General features: G+C 39.9%; 1 protein-coding gene across 25 annotated transcripts in view, besides 6 other annotated features; it reads left to right on the top strand.

Annotated features, from left to right (window-relative positions):
• Window positions 2054-2143: an enhancer, noted in NCBI's record as "active region_9482". NCBI's record gives its function as "activates an Ori minimal core promoter by ATAC-STARR-seq in GM12878 lymphoblastoid cells {active_cell/tissue: GM12878}" and the evidence as "EXISTENCE:reporter gene assay evidence [ECO:0000049][PMID:35858748]".
• Window positions 2164-2303: an enhancer, noted in NCBI's record as "active region_9481". NCBI's record gives its function as "activates an Ori minimal core promoter by ATAC-STARR-seq in GM12878 lymphoblastoid cells {active_cell/tissue: GM12878}" and the evidence as "EXISTENCE:reporter gene assay evidence [ECO:0000049][PMID:35858748]".
• Window positions 2334-2513: a silencer, noted in NCBI's record as "silent region_6485". NCBI's record gives its function as "represses an Ori minimal core promoter by ATAC-STARR-seq in GM12878 lymphoblastoid cells {active_cell/tissue: GM12878}" and the evidence as "EXISTENCE:reporter gene assay evidence [ECO:0000049][PMID:35858748]".
• Window positions 2500-23639, top strand: part of SLTM (SAFB like transcription modulator) — a 54630-nt gene continuing 33490 nt past the window's right edge. For 6 of the 25 annotated variants that reach the window (XM_047433044.1, XM_011522023.2, XM_011522024.2 and 3 more), the window contains exons 1-5: window positions 2500-2775; window positions 3736-3823; window positions 19159-19244; window positions 22483-22680; window positions 23569-23616. In XM_047433044.1, the coding sequence (XP_047289000.1) occupies window positions 2614-2775; window positions 3736-3823; window positions 19159-19244; window positions 22483-22680; window positions 23569-23616 (582 nt within the window). In that variant the 5' untranslated portion in view covers window positions 2500-2613. Of the gene's footprint in view, window positions 2776-2866; window positions 3130-3735; window positions 3824-14054; window positions 14734-19158; window positions 19245-22482; window positions 22681-23568; window positions 23617-23639 lie in introns of those variants that run through there. The other 19 variants (XM_017022576.2, NM_001013843.3, XM_047433043.1 and 16 more) reach the window with 10 other exon arrangements.
• Window positions 2594-2833: an enhancer, noted in NCBI's record as "active region_9480". NCBI's record gives its function as "activates an Ori minimal core promoter by ATAC-STARR-seq in GM12878 lymphoblastoid cells {active_cell/tissue: GM12878}" and the evidence as "EXISTENCE:reporter gene assay evidence [ECO:0000049][PMID:35858748]".
• Window positions 2884-3143: a silencer, noted in NCBI's record as "silent region_6484". NCBI's record gives its function as "represses an Ori minimal core promoter by ATAC-STARR-seq in GM12878 lymphoblastoid cells {active_cell/tissue: GM12878}" and the evidence as "EXISTENCE:reporter gene assay evidence [ECO:0000049][PMID:35858748]".
• Window positions 8298-8797: an enhancer, noted in NCBI's record as "H3K27ac hESC enhancer chr15:59219581-59220080 (GRCh37/hg19 assembly coordinates)". NCBI's record gives its function as "activates a minimal SCP1, AML or CMV promoter by ChIP-STARR-seq in primed H9 embryonic stem cells {active_cell/tissue: H9 hESC(primed)}" and the evidence as "EXISTENCE:reporter gene assay evidence [ECO:0000049][PMID:30033119]".

Below are 23639 nucleotides of genomic sequence, written 5' to 3'. Positions count from 1 at the left end.
GAGACATCTATATGATTTATCTCCCCATCACTATTTAATATAACCTATGTGCTTTTCATTAAGATAAGTACACAATAATGTAACTATTGTCAAAAGGAAATAGCTGAGTCAAATGAAGATGTTTCAAGGTAGGAAAGGTTTAAAAGCCTGTTCGGGCTAGGTGTGATGGCTCACGTCTGTAATCCCAGCACTTTGGGAGGCTGAAGCAGGAGGATAGTGTAAGACCAGGAATTTGAGACCAGCCTGGGCAACATAGTGAGACCCTGTCTCTACAAAAAAAAAAAAAAAAAAAAGAAAAGAAAAGAAAAATTAGCTGGGTGTGCTGGCATGCTACTTGAGAGGCTGAGGGGGAAGGATCACTTGAGCCCAGGAGTTTGAGACCAGACTGGGCAACAACGTGGTGAAACCCTGTCTCTACAAAAAATACAAAAATTAGCCAGGCATAGTGGCAGGCGCCTGTAGTCTAGCTATTCAGGAGGCTGAGGTGGGAGGATCACTTGAGCCTGGGAGGTTGAGGCTGCAGTGAGCCATGATCACGCCACTGCACTCCAGTCTGGGTGACACAGTGAGACCCTGTCAAAAGAATAAAAATAAAAACAAAAACAAAAAAAAGAGAGAGTGTAACTGTAAGTTCCCAGATAAATCTCTTAAAATCTTGAGGGCTGGGCCAGAAGATTTTTTTTTCTTTTTTTCTTTTTGAGACGGAGTCTAGCTCTGTTGCCCAGGCTGGAGTGCAATGGCGTGATCTCAGCTCACTACAACCTCCGCCTCCTGGGTTCAAGCGATTCTTCTGCCCCAGCCTCCCAAGTAGCTGGGATTACAGGTATGCACCACCATGCCCGGCTAATTTTTTGTATTTTTAGTAGAGATGGGGATTCACCATGTTGGCCAGGCTGGTCTTGAACTTCTGACCTCTAGTGATCCACCCACCTCAGCCTCCCAAAGTGCAGGGATTACAGGCATGAGCCACAGCACCCAGACTTTTTTTTTTTTTTTGAGACAGGATCTTGCTCTGTTGCCCAGGGTGGAGTGCAGCGGCCGGATCTCACTGCAACCCCTGCCTTCCGGGTTCAGGTGATTCTCCTGCCTCAGTCTCCCGAGTAGCGGGGATTACAGGTGCTCACCACCACACCCGGCTAATTTTTGTATTTTTTGTAGAGACGGGGTTTCTACTAAACCCTGTATCTTGGCCAGTTTGGTCTTGAACTCCTGACCTCAAGTGATGGGCCAGAAGATTTCTAAGGAGTCTTGCATTCTAAACTTCTATTATTGTGAATCCAATGTTGTAGCAGAGACAGAGCTGGATTTGGAATCAGGAGCCTGGGATTTGAGCACAGCTCGGCCACATACCAGCTGTGTGAACATGGGCAAGTCATTTAATCTCTCTAAGCCTCACGGAGATTTACTTGACAGACTTGGGAAGGATTAAGGGGGTTACTGTACGTCAAAGTGCCTTATAAACTGTAAAGAACTACCCTAATGTCAGGTATTCTTTTATAATGTCCAGTCTTCCTTTTTTTTGAGCCAATCAGAAAAAGTAACCTAAAGTGAGTCAGATCTCAGGAATTTAAGTTGTAAAACCAGGAAATACAGTATAGTTAATTGTGCATCATAATCACCTTATGGAATTTATAGAATCGTTTTATTTTATCAATGCTTGCACTTTGATAATGAATAATACAAGGTAAAATTACAAATAGGTACTCACTTGTACAGGCCGATCCTCCATAAGAAGATGCTCACTGTTCTTGGAATCCCAAATTTTGGGGGGCAAAATAGTGAACACAGTATATGATAACGGCAACAAGTACTTATAAGCTAGTTTTCTCTTTCATTGAACAATTTCGTGTTGAGCCATCAGGTCTACCGGGGAGGATAGCAAACCTGAGGCCAACAAGAAAGAAGTTTTCCTGTTTTTCAAGTGAGGAAGGGCAGCCCTAGAATAACCTAAGCTGCCATGGGCAGGGCGATGATGTTTTCTCCTGAGACAGCCAATGAGCCATGTGTCAAAGGCCAGCCCTTCCTATTCTTTGGACTAACAGCCCTAGAACTGCTTTGAGGTCTTTTGAATGGAACTCGGGGAACCTAGTTCGTTGGTGCACACCGGCGACAATTTTTCGATTATTCAGCAGAACTGATAAAGTATTTCCTTGAGAGGTTCAGCGCGCGCACGCGCCCCCTCGGTTTGTGTTGAGTAACGCGCGCACTATGTCATTCAGTGCCCGCACATCGTTGTTGCTCAAGACTCAAGACGTTGCAAGAAAATGGCTAACGAAGCGACGAGAGAACGGCGGCGCGGCGGACGTTGCTGCGGTAGGACGTGCCCGACCTCCCAGTCCACACAAGGGAGCGCACCGCCCAAGTGGCCGCGGCCCGCTCGACCGAGCGCGCCGCTGCCGGTCCCTGCGCCAACGCGCACGCGCGGCCGTCATCCGGGTGCTGGCGGCTGCTGCTGCAGGTTGCGCTAGGGTGGCGGACCGGGGGAGGGGCCAGCGGCTCATTGTGCGCAGCGCTGCGCGGCGCCGGCGGCCGCCGAGGCCTGGGTGGAAGTTGGCGCTGCTGCCGCCGCCCTGCAGCCCACTCGCTGCCTCGGCAGCGCGCTGCTCTTCTAAGATGGCTGCCGCTACCGGTGCGGTGGCAGCCTCGGCCGCCTCGGGTCAGGCGGAAGGTAAAAAGATCACCGATCTGCGGGTCATCGATCTGAAGTCCGAGCTGAAGCGGCGGAACTTAGACATCACCGGAGTCAAGACCGTGCTCATCTCCCGACTCAAGCAGGTGAGGCCCGGCGAGGACCGGAAAGGACCGGGAAGGGGAACTTAGGCCGCGCCTCGGCGCCCCGCTTCCGCCGCAGCCTCCGGCTGCCCGCAGCCGCTGGGACCTGCGGAACGGCATGGTAGGGAGGCCAGGGGCGGCTCCCGCGAGCGTGGAGGACGGGGACCCTTCCGCGGTGCCCCCGCCCCGCGCCCCGGGCCGGGCCGGGCCTGCGAGGGACCGGCCACCGCAGCCCAGCGTGCCTCCGCCTCCCCGGGACGTCCCCGCCAGGCTGCGAGGGTTGCGGCCGGCCGGCGCGGCCTCCCAAGGGCGATCGCGGAGACCTGGGAGGCGCTGGCTCCCCAGCCTTTAGCCATGGTGAGCGTGTGCATTTCTTGGCCTCAGAGGGAATGGTTACTTTGGTGACTTCTGCGAAGTTACCGTTTAATTGTGCCCAACCGTTTCTTCCCCATCTTGAGGGGGAATTGGTAGTGGGAGTTGATGGGTGGGTGACAGAGTTTTTGTTTTCCACTAGGCTTTTAGTTTTTGCATCAGCGCAATAATTACTTTTTCTTTCCTGATTAGCTTTCTGGTTTGAGTGAGCGTTGGAATTGTAGCAGAGGAGCAGTAAGTTTGCATTACAGAAACTAGGAAAACTCTTTTTAGTTATTTACTTTAGTAGCTAGCAACTTTTCTGCAATAGAACATATTTGGATTTTTGGCCAGTATGATGTGATATTTAATTATCTTGACACGGTAGAATTTAAAACTCCTTGCGATTTTGATACCTAATGATTTTTTTCCCCTGAAAGTTTCTCTCACTCTTTCGTGTAGTTTAATTGCTCATTTTTGAAGTCGGTTGATGAAATGACTGGCAATTCTAATGTCTTGAGGCTTGAGGTTTGCTAAATTTTTTTTCATTTCGTTTTTATAAAATAAGTTTAGATAGATTGTGTAGCATATTAACTTCTCTTTCTAATGTAGGCTATTGAAGAGGAAGGAGGCGATCCAGATAATATTGAATTAACTGTTTCAACTGATACTCCAAACAAGAAACCAACTAAAGGCAAAGGTTGTTACGAGTTATGAACATGTTTTAAAATATATTTTGGTTATATAACTTGCCTCTGCTCTTGTGCCTCTTGCCCTGTTTATATAGTGCTACTCTTTGCTATTTCCCTCTGGCAGTCTGCCTTCTTGGGTCAAGGAAGAAAAGTTACTGTTGCCAGGCTTTGGGTGACTTGTAGCCCTTAAGATTCGGCTGAAGCTGATTAGAAAGTGAGAACAGTTCTTTATTGCTTCCGGAAAAAATTACAAAGTCAAGTTGTGTAATGATGCTTCATAGTGTGAAGACCTGAATAAAATACAGTTTAACACATGTCTACCTTGCCCCACAATTGGCAGAGTTTTGATGGAATTCCTACCAAATCTTTTACCTTGCCTCCTTGCTGTTTTCTTTAGTATATTAAAATTCTATAACCTTTATGTTTAGTACTTTGTTTGACTTGGTGAACTTAATTTGCATTTATGCCATTATACCTCCTAATTTTTAGTGAAATTCAAAAAGACCTCACCAATCATACTAACAAGGTAGAGGGAAAAATCCATGATTAATTAGCTTAAAAAAGTTTTAAATTATAGGGATGTTAAAGATTCTTATTTTTAACTTTTAAGCTAGAGCAAAATATATTTATTTCTAGGATATAATGATTTAGTGACTAGCTAAAAGTGGTTTTAAATGAACGTTTTGCAGTATGAATGGAACTTAGGTATTTTTTAAAGCTTCTTGGTAAATGAAACCTTTATTTGAATAACTGCAAATTTCTCCCTCCTATAAGGACAGTGGCAGAGGGTGGACATGATATATCTGGATTCTGGTCTTTACCTACAATTTTCATGCAGAGTTTGTCATGAACAGCTGCTGCATTTTTTGTAATCTAATTTTCTTTACTGCTTTAAGTGATCCAAGTGTTACTCCCAACCACTGAATGATTGCAACTAAAATAAAATGAATGGATTAATATTGAAAAGGGAATATTAAATTTTGATCTTAAGCACACCTGGGTATCAGAGATGAGGACAACTCACTATTTTAAGTCTTCCTAGGTTAGGAGAGTCCCCTGTTTGTGCCAAAGGAAATTGAAAAGGGCTAATAAGCATTCCCTGGGAGAGGTGGGGATGTAGTTTAGAGAAGTAAAAAAGTTATCTTAAAGGTAGCTTTTAAGATAACTCTGACTCAGTGTATCACTTTGAGAGATACATTTTCTGTATTTAAAGAAGCTTGTCATGAGAAGACTGCCAACAAACCAGAGGCTATTTCAAAATGGAAAACGATAGAAATTCAGAAATAAGTATATCAGGAATTAACCATGTGTCTTGCAGTAGTTTTGATTCATATCTTTTACCTAGCATGCTGTGCTAGTTTGACAGGTACTGTGTATTAATCATAGTCCCAGGTTGTTTGAGTTGACTATTATTTTAGCATTGAAAATAAACATGATTTATTCCTTTCTCACCTACTTTTAATTTCTCTGTATATCCCTTTTTCAGTTTTGACTAGGAACATCATTTATCTCTTATTATTAGAAATAATTTCAGCAATATAAAATTTTAAGGGTTTTTTCAATACATTTTATGACAGGTATATATATCTATATATATGATATATAGATTATATATAGGTGTATATATATCATATATGATATATATATATATTTTTTAATAGGGTATTGCTCTGTTGCCCAGGCTAGAGTGCAGTGGTGCCTAGCTCTTTGCAGCCTCAAACTCCTGGGCTTAAGTGATCCCTCCCACCTTAGCCTCCCTGGTAGCTGGGACTACAGGCATGTGCCACCACAACATTTTAAATAAGTAAACATTATTTATTTTTATCAGTATGTTTGCTAATTTTTTTCTTTGTATGGGTTATACTTGAACTTTATTCCATAACTCTGATGTTAAGAGGTCTTAAGGTATTCAGTTAGAAGTTGTAACATTTGGGGGCCGGGTGCAGTGGCTCACGCCTGTAATCCCAGCAGTTTGAGAGGCTGAGGCGGGTGGATCACCTGCGGTCGGGAATTCGAGAGCAGCCTGGCCAACATGGCCAAACCCCATCTCTACTAAAAATACAAAAAAAAAAAAAAAAAAAATAGCTGGGCATGGTGGCGCGCGTGCCTGTAGTCCCAGCTACTCGGGAGGCTGGGGAGGCTGAGACAGGAGAATCGCTTGAACCCAGGAGGTGGAGGTTGCAGTGAGCTAAGGTCACTCCACTGCAGTCCAGCATGAGACCCCATCTCAAAAAAAAAAGAAGTTGTAACATTCAATCATTTGTTTGTAGCAGGCCTCATTCTAAGAGATGCATGACAAAAAGCTCTAGTCTTCTTGAAATCCGGCTATCATTGTTATGAAAATCTTGTGAATTACAAAGAATATAATGTAAATCTCCAACTCCAAACAGTTTGAATTAATTTACAATAAAGATGCTTATTGATTCAATTATTTTATTTTTATTATTTTTAATATGAGAGATTTTGAACCCAGTTTACTTATTAAAGAATGCTCTTGTCTCAAATTCCAAGCGCTACTGATCATCTTTAGAGCCAGTTTTGCTTAAATGCGTCATACCAACTCAGTTCTAGCCTTCTAAAATGGCAGAGTTCTAAAATGGCAGAGATGTTTTCTCTGCCATTTTACAAAGTGATAAGATTATTTTAGGCCGGGTGCAGTGGCTCATGCCTATAATCCCAAAAGGCCAAGGTGGGAGGATCGCTTGAGTCCAGTAGTTCAAGACCAGCCTGAGCAACATAGTGAGACCCTATCTCTATTTTAAAAAAGAATTAAGATGTTTAAATAATAACTTTTAGAAACCAAATTTGTATAGGGAAACTTATTAAAATATCAATAATGAACAGATTTGAAAACCAAGGATATATTAAATATTGTTTTAATGTGATGTCCGTTTTTCTTTTCTTTTCTTTTTTTTGAGATGGAGTTTCGCTCTTGTCACCCAGGCTAGAGTGCAATGGTGTGATCTCGGCTCACTGCAACCTCCGCCTCCCGGTTTCAAGCGATTCTCCTGCCTCAGCCTCCCGAGTAGCTGAGATTACAGGCATGCGCCACCACTCCAAACTAATTTTGTATTTTTAGTAGAGACGGGTTTCTCCAGTTGGTCAGGCTTGTCTTGAACTCCCAACCTCAGGTAATCCTCCCGCCTCGGCCTCCCAAAGTGAGCCACCGCACCTGGCTGATAATCAGTTTTTCAATCAAGTTGCTGAATTACTACATTCAATTCTTTTTGCCAGATCTTGTTTTACTTACTGGTATCTACATTGAAAATAATTTCATCTTGGTTATGCCACTTTTCCTTCAGTGCGCCTGTTTTCTCTTTTGTAAAACTGGAAATTTTACTAGGTCCCCTGTAAGGCTCTTTTAGTTCTGAAATTTAATAATTATATAGACAAAAATGAGAAGAAAATGCTTTCTGTTTAACTAAAATGATGTTTAAGGAAGCAACAGGTAAGCTCATAGGAAATCAGTATCGTTTTTCTTCAGCACAAATTATTAGAAAACGAAAAGTGCCAAGAAGGGGATTACGTAGAGGTAATTATGTAGACATCAGCGAGACATAATATATAATAGCTGGTCAGGAAAAGAAATGATTCTTATGACAATATTAAGGTAGTGAATAAAAGTTAAATGACGAGAAGCTTCATAGGTATGGAAAAAATACTTTGGTGAAACATTGAGCTTATTCTTTTATAAAATAACTATAGGGTAACTTTCTTTTAAAAATGTATGTTAAAATGATTCTATTTAGAGAGGTTAGAGGGAAAGGAACCTACATTTTTAAGTTTCTCCTAGAATATTTTTTAAATGCAGCTATTACAAGCACAAACAATGTTGATAATGTTATAGTGGGCTCTGACATTTATATCAACATATTTATAAAATTCCTTTACATGTAGTTAATAGAGTAGATGTTTGTATCTTAGAATGGCTTTCCTGAGTCTTCACACTCTCTTTGTTATGAACTTTTAAATAAGTAACTTAGGAGAAAGCTTCACCCATTGAAGTTTACGGTTATATTAATTGGGTGTGTGTTTAAAAAGTAGTTAAACAGGTAGAGCTAACTTCTCATTAGGTTGTTTTAGAGATTATAGATTTAAAGACTTTTGGTTTACCTGATGCTGGCATATCCTTTTCTTTTAAAATTTCAACCTTTAAAGTCACCAATTAACTTCAGCAAAAGTGATGTGGTTAATCAGTACAGTATTTAGAACTATATGTAATGCAATACTTACCGACATTAAAACTAATTTGCAATACCTGGCAGCTTTAAAAAGACTAAAAATGATGTGTACAATCTGATTTTTCTTCTATAGAAACAAATATATTTTGAGGTTATAGGTTTGGCCAAACATCTAATGTATAATTTTTTGTGGAAAATACCACAGACTACATATTTATAATTAAGTACATGTTTACTCTGTAAAGCTTTCTAAAACTGGTATCAATTAAATGTAGTAATCAGCCATATAAAGCACATTTCATATAACACAGTATCATAGTGTACTGTAATTAGCTTTTTTCCTCCAGCTGTAGTATGTTCAGATGTTAAGTAACACTTTAATCAGAACTGTGGCATTGAGGAGGACTTTGGGCGTATAATTGTTATAGATATTTCTTAGGTACCTGAAAGGCTGAAAGCTCTGAAGGCCAGGACATAGTTTTTCATTTACCTCTGTCTCTGTAATGCCTGGTGTAGAGCATGGCACGTAATAAGTGCTCAAAAAATATTTGTTGAATGAATACTGAGGGCCTTTTTGGGGCTTTCTTAACTGCTTTTAGAAATACCTCTTTTGGGCCAGGCGCATGGCTCACGCCTGTAATCCCAGTACTTTGGGAAGCTGAGGTGGGCGGATCACCTGATGTCAGGAGTTTGAGACCAGACTGGCTAACATGGTGAAACCCCGTTTTTACTAAAAATACAAAAAATTAGCTGGGCATGGTGTTTCGCATCTGTAATCCTCGCTACTTGGGAGGCCGAGGCAGGAGAATCTCTTGAACCTGGGAGGCAGAGGTTGCAGTGAGCTGAGATTGCGCCATTGCACTCCAGCTTGGGCAACAAGATCATCATCTTTAGATAATCTGTTCATCTTTAGAAACTTGGTCTCAAAAAACAGAAAACAAACAAAAAAAAGAAATATCTCTTTTGGTGCCTATTTTAATTGCATATTTCTTTGTAAGAAGCAGGTATATCAGGGATTAATAGTTTTTATCTTTTTTTTAAAGGTGCCTCTCTCAAGAGCATAATGGCTTCTCCTTACACATTGATATGTAAAATATACTTACTTTTAGAACACATGAATCATTGCATCATCCTTTTATTCTTTACCACATTGATGCTGTGTTGAAAAGCCTCTGAACCTTGCTGGAATACTGTCCAACCTCAGAGGTTGTATATGTCATTTTCATTTCACAAAATTAGCCCTTTTATCGCAGCCATTAAAACATACATTTGGCCAGGCGCGGTGGCTCACACCTATAATCTCAGCACTTTGGGAGGCCGAGGTGGGTGGATCACAAGGTCAGGAGTTCGAGACTAGCCTGGCCAACATGGTGAAACCCCCTCTCTACTAAAAATACAAAAATTAGCCAGGTGTGGTAGCATGTTCTGTAATCCCAGCTACTCTGGAGGCTCAGGCAGGAGAATCACTTGAACTTGGGAGGAGGAGGTTGCAGTGAGCCGAAATGGTGCTGCTGCACTCCAGCCTGGGTGACAGAACAAGACCCTGACTCAAAGAAAAAAAAAAAAAAAGGTAATCCAGAAAAGTACAAAAAAGTGAAGATTACCCGTAATCCCACCACCCTGAATTTATCATATGTAGCATTTTACATATGATATATATACATGTTTATAATTAAGTACATGTTTACTCTGTAAAGCTTTCTAAAAGTTAATCTAATATAGTAATCAACCACATAAAGCACATTTCATATTACAACACATGTTGATCTAAGTTGTGTAGGTGTATGTGCAAGTACTTACAGGAGGTTTATGTTTAAAGGTTTTTTCCCCCCTTTTCAACAACTAAAATAGATTCACACCATACATGGTGTTTTGTTGAAGGTAGATAGAACTTAAATATTTCTGTAGTCTGGAGAATCAAAAAACAATAACCTTCCGTCTATATTCTTCTCAACAGCTTCTGTAAATAGATTCACTTGTCTTAGTGGCTCATGATCTGCACTCTGCGTTAGTCATTTGAATTTTAAAAAATACAGATAGCAGGCTTTCACTCCCCATAGAGTTGGTTTGGGTTGTTATGTTGGGGGCCCAGGCATCAGTATGTATTTTCTAAAAGCTCCCCAGGTGATTCTTACATACACCTGAAGTTAAGAACTAACTAATCTAAACTAAAGCTTGAAATTTAGCATCATTTTTATTCATCTCTCTGCTGGTCAGTTTCTAGATTATTTTATATACTTTTCAGTTTTCGGAAAACTTCTACATTGCTTTATTTGATTCTCACAACGGTGCTGAGAGTTAAGCAGGACTATTTTCTTTTTACTGGTAGAATAGAAAGGTAATTCATTAAGAACCCAGTTAAATTACCTTTGACAGTCTTGTGTTTGTAGGCACACCTGCCTGAAGGAGTGTGCCGGAATTGTTTATTCTGTTCATCTTTAGATAATTAATGTAAGATATTTGAAAAATATACCTTTGGCATATTCTAGGTTTATTATAATGAATGTGAATTATCTTTGTAGTAATTTTTCAAAGTGACCTATTGGGCCAGGTGGGATGGCTCACTCTTGTAAACCCAGCACTTTGGGAGGTGGAGGCGGGTGGATCACTTGAGGTCAGGAGTTCGAGACCAGCATGGCCAACATGGTGAAACCCCATCTCTACTAAAAATACAAAAACTAGCTGGGCATGGTGTTGGGCACGTGTAACCTTAGCTACTCAGGAGGCTGAGGCAGGAGAGTCACTTGAACCCAGGATGCAGAGGTTGCACTGAGCTGAGATTGTGCCACTGCACTCCAGCCTGGGCAATAGAGTAAGACCCTGCCACAAAAACAGAAACAAAAAACTCAGAGTGACCTATTGTATGACTGTTGTGTTTAAGACAATGTGCAAGGCCTTTCAGAAAAATGATTTTGTTAGTAAAATGTCAGTTTAATAGAAGAGAAGCTAAAACACTTGCAAACAATACAAGGCATGGCCTGTGATTAAGATACTCCATGCAATTGGGAAGAGGTTGTTGCTGGAAACATTTCAGTTTGGCATATCTTCTTAATCTTCCCCTCCCTTGCAACAGAAATTTTATAACTAAGCTTTTTTTTTTTTTTTTTTTAACATTTTATCGTAGCTCTTGTGAATGTTTAAGGGGAAAAGTTACTCAGCCATAAAGTATTTTGGCAAAATGATTTTAAAATTTCCTTAGGCTGGGAGCAGTGGCTCACGCCTGTAATCCCAGCACTTTGGGAGGCCAAGGCAGGAAGATTGCTTGGACCCAGGTGGTTGAGGCTGCAGTGAACCATGACTGCCCCTGCACTCCACCCTGGGCGATAGAGCAAGACCTTGTCTCAAAGAAAAGAAACTAATTATTAAGTGGGATTTGTTTTTGTTTGGGAGGTATTTCTGAACTTAAAAAGGAAAATTGCAAACCATTATAGGGACTAGTTTGCCTTTGGAGGAAAAGGAAAATTGCAAACCCTTATAAAGACCAATTTGCCTTTGGAGGAGAAAGCCAATTTATCATCCAAAATCCTCAGAATTCTCAAATACAAAAAGTTCTGAAAACTGAAAGTTTCTTCTTAAGTTTGGTGGCAAAAGTTATTTATAGTCTTGACTTATCCCATTTGATGTGAATCTGCTTACATTTCATTGCACAAAATGTTTCTGTGATTGTGAAATACTGTTCCAGAAGCCACTGGGAGGTTTAACTTAATAAATAGTATATGCAACGTTTTACTCTTCTAAAATCTGAAAATTGTGAATTCTGAAACATATCTCAGAGGGTTTCATTAAGAATTTTTGGGCTTATACAAATTTATGCTACATAAATGTTTATAGTCTTGTCTTTCTCTGGTATATACGTTTTTACTTTGCCATTTTACTTTAGGCCCTCAAATCATGCAAGTTATATTTTAGATTTTGTTTTTGTCATTTCAAAATAGCTATGTTACTACTATGATAGTTTAGGATGTGATAGGTTAATCTTGCTTTCATTTTTTATTTTGTTATTCAGATTATGTTTACTGCCCAATTTATTTTGTAGTTTTTTCCTCAAAGCGTAAAAGTTTGGCTTCAGGCCAGGCGTGGTGGCTCACGCCTCTAATCCCAGCACCTTGGGAGGCCGAGGCCGGTGGATCACTTGAGGCCAGGAGTTCGAGACCAGCCTGGCCAACATGATGAAACCCTGTCTCTATTAAAAATACAAAAATTAGCTGGGTGTGGTGGCATGAGGCTATAATCCCAGCTACTCAGGAGGCTGAGTCAGGAGAATTGCTTGAACTCGGAAGGCAGAGGTTGCAGTGAGCCAAGATAGCGCCTCTGCACTGCACTCCAGCCTGGGCAAGAAGAGCGAGACAGTGTCTCCAAAAAAAAAAAAAAAAAAAAAAAAAAGGTTTGGCTTCAATCTGCCTTACACTTTCAGTTAGTTCCTTTATCCTGGTCATGCCACTTTCACAGTTTTGCGGCAGTTGCTAGATTCCCTGTAGGACAAAAGAGGTGAAACTATTTAGTTGATTTGCTGTAGGAGCTTTAATAGCAAAGGTTTAAATCGGGTAGACATAAATGGTTACTTGACTCTACAAAAATGTGCTGAAGATAGTGCCGCTTGTCGGAATTTAAGGGTGATTTGGTCTTTAAAATTCTTTCTCGTGTGTGATATTACAAAAGTTAGGGACCTGCAGAGGTAGTGACAGGATGTATTGACAGGATGGGGTTACACACAAAGTTAGTTGAACTGCCATGTCACCCCTTTCTCCCAGTTGGGCCAAATAGAAATCCAGACCTTGTTTTCTTGTTTTTAACTTTTAGAGATTATTTTATTTATTTGTTTGTTTTTGAGGAGTCTCACTCTGTCACCCAGATTGAAATTGAGTGGCACAATCTTGGCTCACTGCATTCTTGACCTCCTGGGCTTATGGTATCCTCCCACATCGGCCCCCCTAGTAGCTGGATGGCAGGTGCACACCACCACGCCTGGCCAATTTGTGTGTTTTTTTGTAGATACGGGGCTCCACCATGTTGTCCATACTAGTCTTGAACTTCTGACCTCAGTTAATCCTCCTGCCTTGGCCTCCCAAAGGGTTTGAGATTACAGGTTCAAGCTACCATGCCCGACCTGTTTTCCATGTGTCCAGCATAGGACTTACTCCATTATCAGTCAGAAAATATATAATGCGGCTAGGTGCAGTGGCTCACCTCTGTAATCCCAGCACTTTGGGAGGCTGAGGTGGGCTGATCACTAGAGGTCAGGAGTTCGAGACCAGTCTGGCCAACTTGGTGAAACCCCATCTCTACTAAAAATACAAAAATTAGCTGGATGTGGTGGCAGCACGTGCCTGTAATCCCAGCTACTTGGGAGGCTGAAGCGGGAGAATCGCTCGAACCCACAAGATGGAGGTGGCAGTGAGCCAAGATCACACCACTGCACTCCAGCCTGGGTGACAGAGTGAGACTCCATCTCAAAAAAAAAAGAAAAAAGAAAGATACAATGCTTGAATATCGGTTTTATATTATATATTTTATATATTTTTTATATACGCATATAATATATAATATATATTTTATACATGTATATAATATATTTTATACGTATATAATATATATTTTATACGTATATAATATATATTATATACATATTATATACATATAAAATATATTATATACGTATAAATTTTATACGTATATAATATATAATATGCATATTGTATATTATGTACTATACATATTATATATTATATAAATATATATATAGTGTTGTACTAGGTTCTGAGCTGGCTGATAAACATTATAGCTTTTTTTTTTTTTTTTTTTTTTGAGGCAGAGTTTTGCTCTTGTCACCCAGACTGGAGTGCAGTGGCATGATCTCGGCTCACTGCAACCTCCACCACCCGGGTTCAAGCAATTCTTCTGCCTCAGCCTCCCAAATAGCTGGGATTACAACCATGAGTCACCACACCCGGCTACTTTTTTGTGTTTTTAGTAGAGACAGGGTTTCACCATGTTGGCCAGGCTAGTTGCACACTCCTGACCTCAAGTGGTCCACCCACCTCGGCCTCCCAAAGTGCTGGGATTACAGGCGTGAGCCACCTCACCTAGCAACATTATAGCTTTTTAAAATGAGTTATATTTTGTATGGAGGGGAAGTGTTTTTTCACAAAATAAGAAATTACAATATAGTCGGCTGGAGTCAGGAGTTCGAGACTAGCCTGGTCAACATGCTGAAACCCTGTCTCTACTAAAAATACAAAAATTAGCTGGGGTGGTGGCATGCGCCTGTAATCCCAGCTCCTTGTGAGGCTGAGGCATGAGAATCGCTTGAACCTGGGAGGCGGAGGTTGCAGTGAGTTGAGATCATGCCACTACACTTCAGCCTGCATGACAGAGTAAGAGTCTGTCTCCAAAAAGAAAAAAAGAAAAAAAGAAGTTAACAATATTTACCATGTGTAAAGTTTGTAATTTACGATGTGTAAAACAAGCCAAAAGTTGCCAATTATGAAAGCAGTCCAAAGCTAATGTGAGATTTCATTTTTTTTGAATACTATGTATCTATCAGGTTGTTACTCCAGTTTCATCACTGTTTGACAATCTTGTCCTAATGTCTTTTAAGATTACAAGCTGAAACATTAAATGTCCAGTGTGATTGTATTGTAACAGCTGTTGGAAACAGTATGGGACAGCAAAGTTAGACCATTTTTACATACCCCAGTGCTGCCTCTTGTTGCCTGTGCGTCATCGTCATTGGGCAAGTGAGTCTCACATTTTAAAATTTCATACATGTGGATTTTGGAACTTCTGTTTACACTAAAAGAGATAATATTTTAAACAACTGGCACATTGTAACTCCTCAGAGATCGAATGGTTTTGAGGAATGGAAATTGGGCTGCATTTAAATTGAAGCACTGCCATTTACTAGCTTTGTAATCTAATTTTTCAGACTTAGTGTCTCTTTTGTAAAAGGGGCATAATTGTTTCAGAGGAGTTGTGAGGATAAAATTTTAAAATACAAGTACATAAATGCATATGAAGAATTTATCCTAGCACCTGGACCATAGATGCCACTTCAGTGGTAATGACTGCTGTTTTTGTTGCTGAAGTGTAATTTGATTTTCCTGTTTTTCACTAAAAGAAGAGAAATTCGACACAGAGTGTGCATACTATGCAATTTGTCATTATGCTGAGGACTGCCATTTCAAAGATAATACCTTTATTTTAAAAATTTTTTATTTTTTATTTTTTTGAGATGGAGTCTCACTGTGTTGCCAAGGCTAGAGTGCACTGGTGCAATCTCGGCTCACTGCAACCTTCACCTCCCGGGTTCAAAGGATTATTCTGCCTCAGCCTCCCGAGTAGCTGGGATTACAGGCGCCCATCACCACACCCGGCTAATTTTTGTGTTTTTAGTAAAGAATGGGTTCACTGTGTTGGCCAGGCTGGTCTCGAACTCCTGACCTCACGTGATCTGCCCACCTCTGCCTCCCAAAGTGTTGGGATTACAGGTGTGAGCCACCACGCCCAGCCAAAAAATTTTTATTTATTTATTTATTTATTTATTTATTTATTTATTATTTTGAGATGGAGTCCCATTCCATTGCCCAGGCTGGAGTGCTGCGTTGCTATCTTGGCTCACTGCAGCCTCCACCTCCCGGGTTCAGGTGATTCTCCTGTCTCAGCCTCCCAATTAGCTGGGATTACAGGCATGTGCCACCATGCCCAGCTAATTTTATATTTTTAGTAGAGATGGGGTTTCACTGTGTTGGCCAGGCTGGTCTCAAACTCCTAACCTCAGATGATCCACCTACCTTGGCCTCCCAAAGTGCTGGGATTACAGGCATGAGCTGCTGTGCCCAGCCTTATTTATTTATTTTACTTTCAAGACAGAGTGTCGCTCTGTCTCTCAGGCATGAGTGCAGTGGGGCGATCTCAGCTTACCGCAACCTCCACTTCCCCGGTTCAAGTGATTGAACCCAGTGCCTCAGCCTCCTGAGTAGCTGGGATTACAGGCGTGCACCACCATGCCCAGCTACTTTTTTGTATTTTTTAGTAGAGGTGGGGTTTTGCTAGTTGGCCAGGCTGCTCTCAAACTCCGGGCTTCAAGCAATCTGCCCTCCTTGGCCTCCCAAATTGCTGGGTTTACAGGCATGAGGCACTGCGCCCGGCCTCAAAGATAATTAAGTTGAATTAATTCACCACTCCTTATTAGAATAATGTGTTTTATACAGGTCATAATAAGATATAGTGGCAGGACAAGATTGGTCACGAAATCCTGGCTTCAGTTCTGACAGCACCATTTTCAAGTTTTAGGCAAGGTATTTAACCTCTCAGGCTCATTTTCTCTTTTGTAAAATTGTGATAATGGACCTATGTACCATCATAGGGTGCTTGGACAAATCAACTGAAATTTTTTTTAAGTGCTTTGCAAATTATAAGGCAGTTTGTGATTATAAGGAATAAATAGCATTTATAAATGATCTACAGGAATTCCCCCAAAAGTTCTGCTCTATAGGCTATTTGGTGGTGAGTGTGTATGGGAGAGGATTTGATGTTTTGGTTTATTTTGCTTCTGAGGTAGGGTCTCGCTCTGTTGCCCAGGCTGGAGTGCAGTGGTTGGTATAATTACAGCTCACTGCAGCCTTGCCCTCCTGGGTTCAAGCAGTTCTCCCACCTCCTGGGTTCAAGCAGTCCTCCCACCTCAGCCTCCCGAATAGCTGGGACTACCGGCATACACCGCGACACCCAGCTGTGTTTAAAAAATTTTTTTTTGAAGAGATAGGGATCTCACTGTGTTGCCTGGGCTGGTCTCAACTCATGGGCTCAAGCGATTCTCCCCCTCCAGCCTCCCAAAATGCTGGGATTACAGGCAGTAGCCACCGCTTCCAGCAGGATTTGATATTTTAAAAAAGCATTTTTCTCCCAAAAAGTAGCCTCTTTAAGGTTTTTGTATTATGGAACTTTCTCTAAATGTAATAGAAGAATTTAATTATCTGGGCGTGGTGGCTCACGCCTGTTATCCCAACACTTTGGGAGGCCGAGGTGGGTGGATCACCTAAGGTCAGGGGATCGAGACCATCCTGGCTAACACGGTGAAACCCCGTCTCTACTAAAAATACAAAACATTAGCCATGTATGGTAGCACGCGCCTGTAGTCCTACTACAGGAGGCTGAGGCAGGAGAATCGCTTGAACTCGGGAGGCAGAGGTTGCAGTGAGCCGAGATTGCGCCACTGCCTTCCACCCTGGGCGACAGAGCAAGACTCTTGTCTCAGGAAAAAAAAAAAAAGAATTTAGTAGTTTTCTTTTTCAGGAAAAGGACATCTTTAGTTTTTTTTCTTTCTTAGTGATTGCCCTTTTAGTAACTTCTAATTTTAGATTTTAGGGCAACATAATCAGATAGACTTGTTGTTATGTGAAATTCTCATGTACAAATTAAGTTTAGTGATAAAGAGAATGATGACAGTAATTATAAAATTATATGCAAAGCATTAATCTACAAAGGGAATAGTAAACCAAAAAGTTAAACCAAAAAGTTATGTTTTCCCCAAAATGCAAACGTCAACATTGTAAATAGAAAGTTAACACAACACCAAGCGCCACACTTCATTTCTTGTTTGGTTCTCACAAGCCTTCAGCTACTAATTGAGTAAAAGAAAAATCCCCACTCCTAATCTTGTTTTTTACATACTTGGAAGGACTAGCATATCTTTTCCCCTTTTATCACTCATTTGCGGAAATGACTTAGAATTGGGAGTAGATGACAGATAGGAGCTACCGAGGAGACTAGGGAAATGCAGGTTTACTAACCTTTAAAATATTTATTCCAACGGCTAAACCTCTACCCTGATTACTGAAGCTTGAACTAGGTAGTAGCACTGTCTGTGCCAGTTGTAGGCAAAGGGAAAAAAGTTCATTCGTTGGTCTTAGGAAAGAACATCCATTCATGTTTCAAAAGAAATGAAAAAAAAAATTTTTTTTAATAAACTTCCAGCAGATGTCTTTTTTTTATGGCATTTCTAGTACATTAAGGATTTTTAAGTAGGATTTTGTGGACTAGCCTGAAAACATAATAATGTTTTAGCATTGCCTCTGTGGAAAACTTTTTTTTTTTTTTAATGTGGAAAATTATTTTAAAGTTCCAACTACCAGCTGGGCGCAATGGCTCAGTGCCTGTAATCCTAGCACTTTGGGAGGCTAAGGCGGGCAGATCACTTGAGGTCAGGAGTTCGAAACCAGCCTGGCCAACGTGGTGAAACTCCATCTGTCTCTACTAAAAATACAAAAATTAGCCAGGCATGGTGCCTCGTGCCTGTAATTCCAGCTACTTGGGAGGCTGAGGTAGGAGAATCTCTTGAACCCAGGAGGGGGAAGTTACAGTGAGCCGAGATTGCGCCACTGCATTCCAGCCTGGGCGACAGAGTGCGACTCTGTCTCAAGAATAAATAAATAAATATTCTTAAAAAAAATTTCTAACTACCAGGTTGCAAAGTTTTGAAGATGGGCAAAGAAGGTCTGTAGTTTGTCGGAAAGCTATTAACAGTTTTCACTCTGCAGTAATTTCTGCATGCCTTAAATCAGTTATTATGTTAAGTGGCCAGCACTCTTTATATTTAGGCTTTTGGAGAAATAAATAATTAGCATAAAAGTAGTCACTGTATTTAAAGAATTTCTTCTCTATGAAGAGGCAAGGTGTACTAGAGACAGAGTACAAGGCAATATGTAATCAACCACCTGATGGATTGTAAGATGAAGATTAAAGTGTGAGGATTTTTATTTCAGAGAATGCTTGTTGAAGAGAAGAACATAGGAAAGGCTTTGTGGGAGGTACAGATCTTGTACTTAGCTATCAGGTGTCTATATATATAGTTAGTAGAATGCCATTGAAAGGTATCACAGCTTCTCAGATAACTGAGGATAGAAAATTCAACTGGTGTAAAGAAAAATGCACCATATATGTCAAGTCAGTTAAGCTGATGGGTTCATATGTAGGATTCTGTGCACGGTGTATTTCAATGAAGCAGCATGACATAGGAAAGCTTTTTTTGTTTGGGACAGCTCTGAGCAGGTGGTTTAGAAGCAGTTGACATTAGCTTTGTCAGATAGTTTGGGAGTGGAGAGTGCTATTGCAGGGTAAACTCTGAATATTTTTTGTTCTTAAAGTAATAAAATATTGGTTGTTAGCCCATTTTCCTTCTTTCGCAGGTAAAAAACATGAAGCAGATGAGTTGAGTGGAGATGCTTCTGTGGAAGATGATGCTTTTATCAAGGTAAAGTGTTAATTACTCAGGTTAAGATGCTTATTTTAAGCCTAGTATTTTGCATCATGAATTTTGTGCTTTTTGTTGAACAATGGTCACTGAAGTATGTAGGTTAAAGATAAAGACCTATGTAATATTGACAACGTTTAATATTGTCAATCTCATTAACTCTCATAATTGAGAAATATAGTAAATAACTTTTTCTTTAGTTAAATGAGATACAAAAGCTAAAATTAATAATCTCTCCAGGCCTTTAGGTAGAAAGCTGGCCAGGGGAATAGCTACGAGACAATTGATATACATGTTAGTTCCTGGATGAGATATCACAGGGAAGGATATTGGTAATTTGTTTTTTATCTGCCATTGCATTTAGCTTTTGTATATAATATACAGAACTTAGATTAATGTAGACCTTAAAATACACAGAGAAAATTGCTGATGTGTTACTACTTGGTAAAGATCAAATTAAGGGCCAGGCGCCGTGGCTTACGCCTGTAATCCCAGCACTTTGGGAGGTCTAGGCGGGCGGATCACTTGAGGTCAGGAGTTTGAGACCAGCCTGGCCAACATAGTAAAACCCCATCTCTACTAAAAATACAAAAATTAGCCAGGTGTGGTGGCGCATGCCTGTAATCCCAACTACTTGAGAGGCTGAGGCAGGAGAATCGCTTGAACTCGGGAGGTGGAGGGTGCAGTGAGCCGAAATTGTGCCAGTGCATTCCAGCCTGGGTAACAGCAAGACTCCGTCTCAAAAAAAAAAAAAAAGAGAGAGAGAGAGATCAAATTAAGAAATTTATTTTGCCCTTTAAAGATAAATAAGCTAGGCCTTTTGGGGCCGAAAATGAGTGTATTTCAAAACTGGCTGGCCAGAAAAATTATGGATGTAATTTTAATTGGGGTTGTGGCAGTTCTATATACTACAGCTATAGAACAAGCTATTTTTAATTGTAGTTAGGGTTTTTTAATTTTTTTTTTATTTTAATGAAAAGTGATCTACTGCTTATTAGGTCTTAAGTATTGTGGTATTTGCAGGAATTATTTCATGAGTATAGTTCCTCTTGAATTATATACATTTATGTCCCCATATATTCTGTTTTCTGGGTAAAACTAGTCCATATTGTCATCATGTCTCTCGATGTTTGTGTTTTCCATAGAGTCAGCTCATGTTCATTTACCCACCCATCTCTCCTGCCTCCTAGCTCTCTTCACTCTCCACGCTGCACACACACACACAGACACAACCCCACCCCCAAAAGATGTTTTGTTGAGGAGTTAGCCCTGAAATCAGTTAATTTTAGGAACTGTTTGCCCAGGGATCCGTTAAAATTGATGATTGCATGCCTGTAATCAGCTTGTGTTTGAGCCTTTAAGTTTTGGTATTCTGTTACCCTTACTATATATCTTCCATCAGGTTTGTTCCTTTGTTCCTATTTTCTCCAGTTGTCTTCACCAGTAAGTGTATGATTAAGCAAAGATTATCCATAAGCTGTAAAAACATTGTGACTCAGTAAAAAATCTTTTACTTTTCAAATTTGTTTCTTTCAGCTCTTCAGTTTATAAAAATGTTACAGTCATTTGAAATGGCCTAAGGAGATATATACGTCTATTGAGACGAACAATAGTACTGTCTCTTATATGTGCCACAAAGGATGCTTTTGTGTTATGATTAAATAAACCTGGTCATAATGTCTAAAAGAACAAGGGAACTTTTTTTTTGTTTTTGTTTTTGTTTTTGTTTTTGTTTTTGTTTTTTGAGATGGAGTCTCGCCCTGTTGCCCAGGCTGGAGTGCAGTGGTGCGATGTCAGCTCGCTGCAACCTCCACCTCCCAGGTTCAAGAGAGTCTCCTGCCTCAGCCTCCCAAGTAGCTGGGATTACCGGCTTACCGCACCAGGCCCGGCTAATTTTCGTATTTTAGTAGAGACGGGGTTTCACCATGTTGGCCAGGCTGGCCTCGAACTCCTGACCTCATGATCCACCCGTCGGCCTCCTAAGATGCTAGGAATACAGGTGTGAGCCACCATGCCCAGCCCTAGGAGCTTTTTAAAAATTCTGTGTAAAGATATCTTCAGTTTATTTTTGGAAGTATCAACATATGTGATGTATTTGATAGAAATTAAGTGAATATATTTTCTCATCTCCCACAGTTGATAATTTTGGAATTTATACAGTAATGGTTGGTAAATATCACCTATTGCCTAAATACCAGAATAGTATAGAAATTGCTTCTGTAAATAAGTGAGGAGATTGGTCAAAGTTGGCACCTTAGAATAGGTGAAGTTTCCTTGGTAACTTCCCTTGATCTTTCTTGCACCTATTCTTCTGCCATAATACAGCCATGTACTCCATTTTCATCCCCTCACGCTCCCCTACTCATGCTGTAGTACATTTGGTCAAACAAGAGATCCCCTGCTCCCCAAGGACTCCACCTTCCAAAACAGTCATATTCTCTATGCCCACCTCTCGATAGAAATTTCCATTTCCTCACTGCAGTTTGGCTGTGAATGATTAGTAGTCATGCCTCTGCCTCTTTCACCTTTTAACCCAGAAACCTTTTCTTAAATCTGCTGGATTTACCGTAAGAACAGGAAAAAAGGAAGTAATGTTTATTGCTTTCACCCCTTTTCTCTTCATTTAATCAGGAAATTAAGCAGATTGCTGATTTTGTTTTCACTGAAGTACCATATATTCATAAACTTTGAAGGACAAACAGATCCAATCCCAACCTATGTTCCTCTTCCTAATTGACATTTGGCACAGTGGTAGATTTCAAAACAAATACATTTCAATTAGTTATTTGCATATTTTTCAAGAACAGACATTGATGCAGCAGTTGGGAGTTCTTTATTATTAGAAATAAACTTTGTTTTAATGTATAAGACTTCCGAAGTCTTTGAAGTTAAATCAACATATGGCACATGGAAAAATGAAGCCGTATTTTTTGGACAGCTTCTAGAAGCTGGCTTGGTAAATATTAAATAACTGGAATTTAGAGCATCTCTAGCAGCAATTTGATTAGTGTGCATTTTAGTGTGAGAAATTTGAGAACTCAGATTCGTGTTTGATGATCTTGGTATTAGACCTATTTTTAAAGACACAGTAAATATATAAGGTAAAATGAATGAACTTTGGGAATATTAAAATATGATCAAATTTGACACATTTAAAGGTGTAAATTACCAAAAACGTTTGGTGGATAGCCCACACTACTTTGCCTCTAGTTGTACCAAATTTTCTTACCATTAAAAGGACTGTGAATTGGAGAATCAAGAGGCACATGAGCAAGATGGAAATGATGAACTAAAGGACTCTGAAGAATTTGGTGAAAATGAAGAAGAAAATGTGCATTCCAAGGAGTTACTCTCTGCAGAAGAAAACAAGAGAGCTCATGAATTAATAGAGGCAGAAGGAATAGAAGATATAGAAAAAGAGGACATCGAAAGTCAGGTCTTTAGCCAGTTTTTTTTAAAACATGACACAGATAAATTAAGTTTTAAATAATAAAAAGTATTTTTTTCTAGTTCAATTTGGAAGTCTCAGAATTTTTAAAAGATGTGTTACTAAAGCTACTTATAAGTCATCTAAAATCCTACCACCTTAGGCAACCTTTTAAATTTTTGCTTATTTCATATAATATATATTTATACATAGTTGTTATAGAGTAAGTTCCTATTTATTCTGTATTTTCACATGACGTATAATTTCATAATTTCCCCATAATTTATTAGACTGCTTTCTACATATCTAATAGACACTCCTTTAATTTTGGACATTTTAAGTTTTAAGGCTTTTTTCCTACTCCACGATGAATGAATGTACCAATTTCATTCTGGCATTGCCAACATTACTTGGTGGTAGGGTTTTTTCCCCTTTCTGCTACCTTAGCAAGTATAAAAGGTTACTTTAATTTACATTTCTTTGGTTATATCAAGGGTGGGGAATTACTTATGAAAGTTTAATTTTAAAGCAGATAATATTTCAAATATTTTCTTTGAAATAGACCATTTGTCCTGCCTTGAAGTATGTTAGTACATTTTAAGAAAGTCAGTGGGTTAAGGAGTCAGTGCTGTTAGTATTCATGCTTAAAACACTTCCCTTCTACCTACCCTAATAAATGAGGGGCTCAAGAGAAATATTTCTAATTCTCTAGCGACATGGCTAATTTTTTTTGGCATAAAAAATATAGTCTGAATATTAAGCATTGATTTAGTACCCATGGTATCGCAGATATTATACAGAACACAAGGCAAATGATAATCAGGTGTAAGCATAAAAGCATTCTCACGTTACCCCGATATTTTATAAAGCAAAGCTATTGTATACCCTTTTACTTAGGAAATTGAAGCTCAAGAAGGTGAAGATGATACCTTTCTAACAGCCCAAGTAAGTTTACATTTAGTCCTATG

The sequence above is a fragment of the Homo sapiens genome, chromosome 15 (genome assembly GCF_000001405.40).
Source record: "Homo sapiens chromosome 15, GRCh38.p14 Primary Assembly".
NCBI classification, from domain to species: Eukaryota; Metazoa; Chordata; class Mammalia; order Primates; family Hominidae; genus Homo; species Homo sapiens.
Note: the sequence above shows the minus strand (reverse complement) of the source record. Positions and strands in the feature narration are given on the sequence as shown.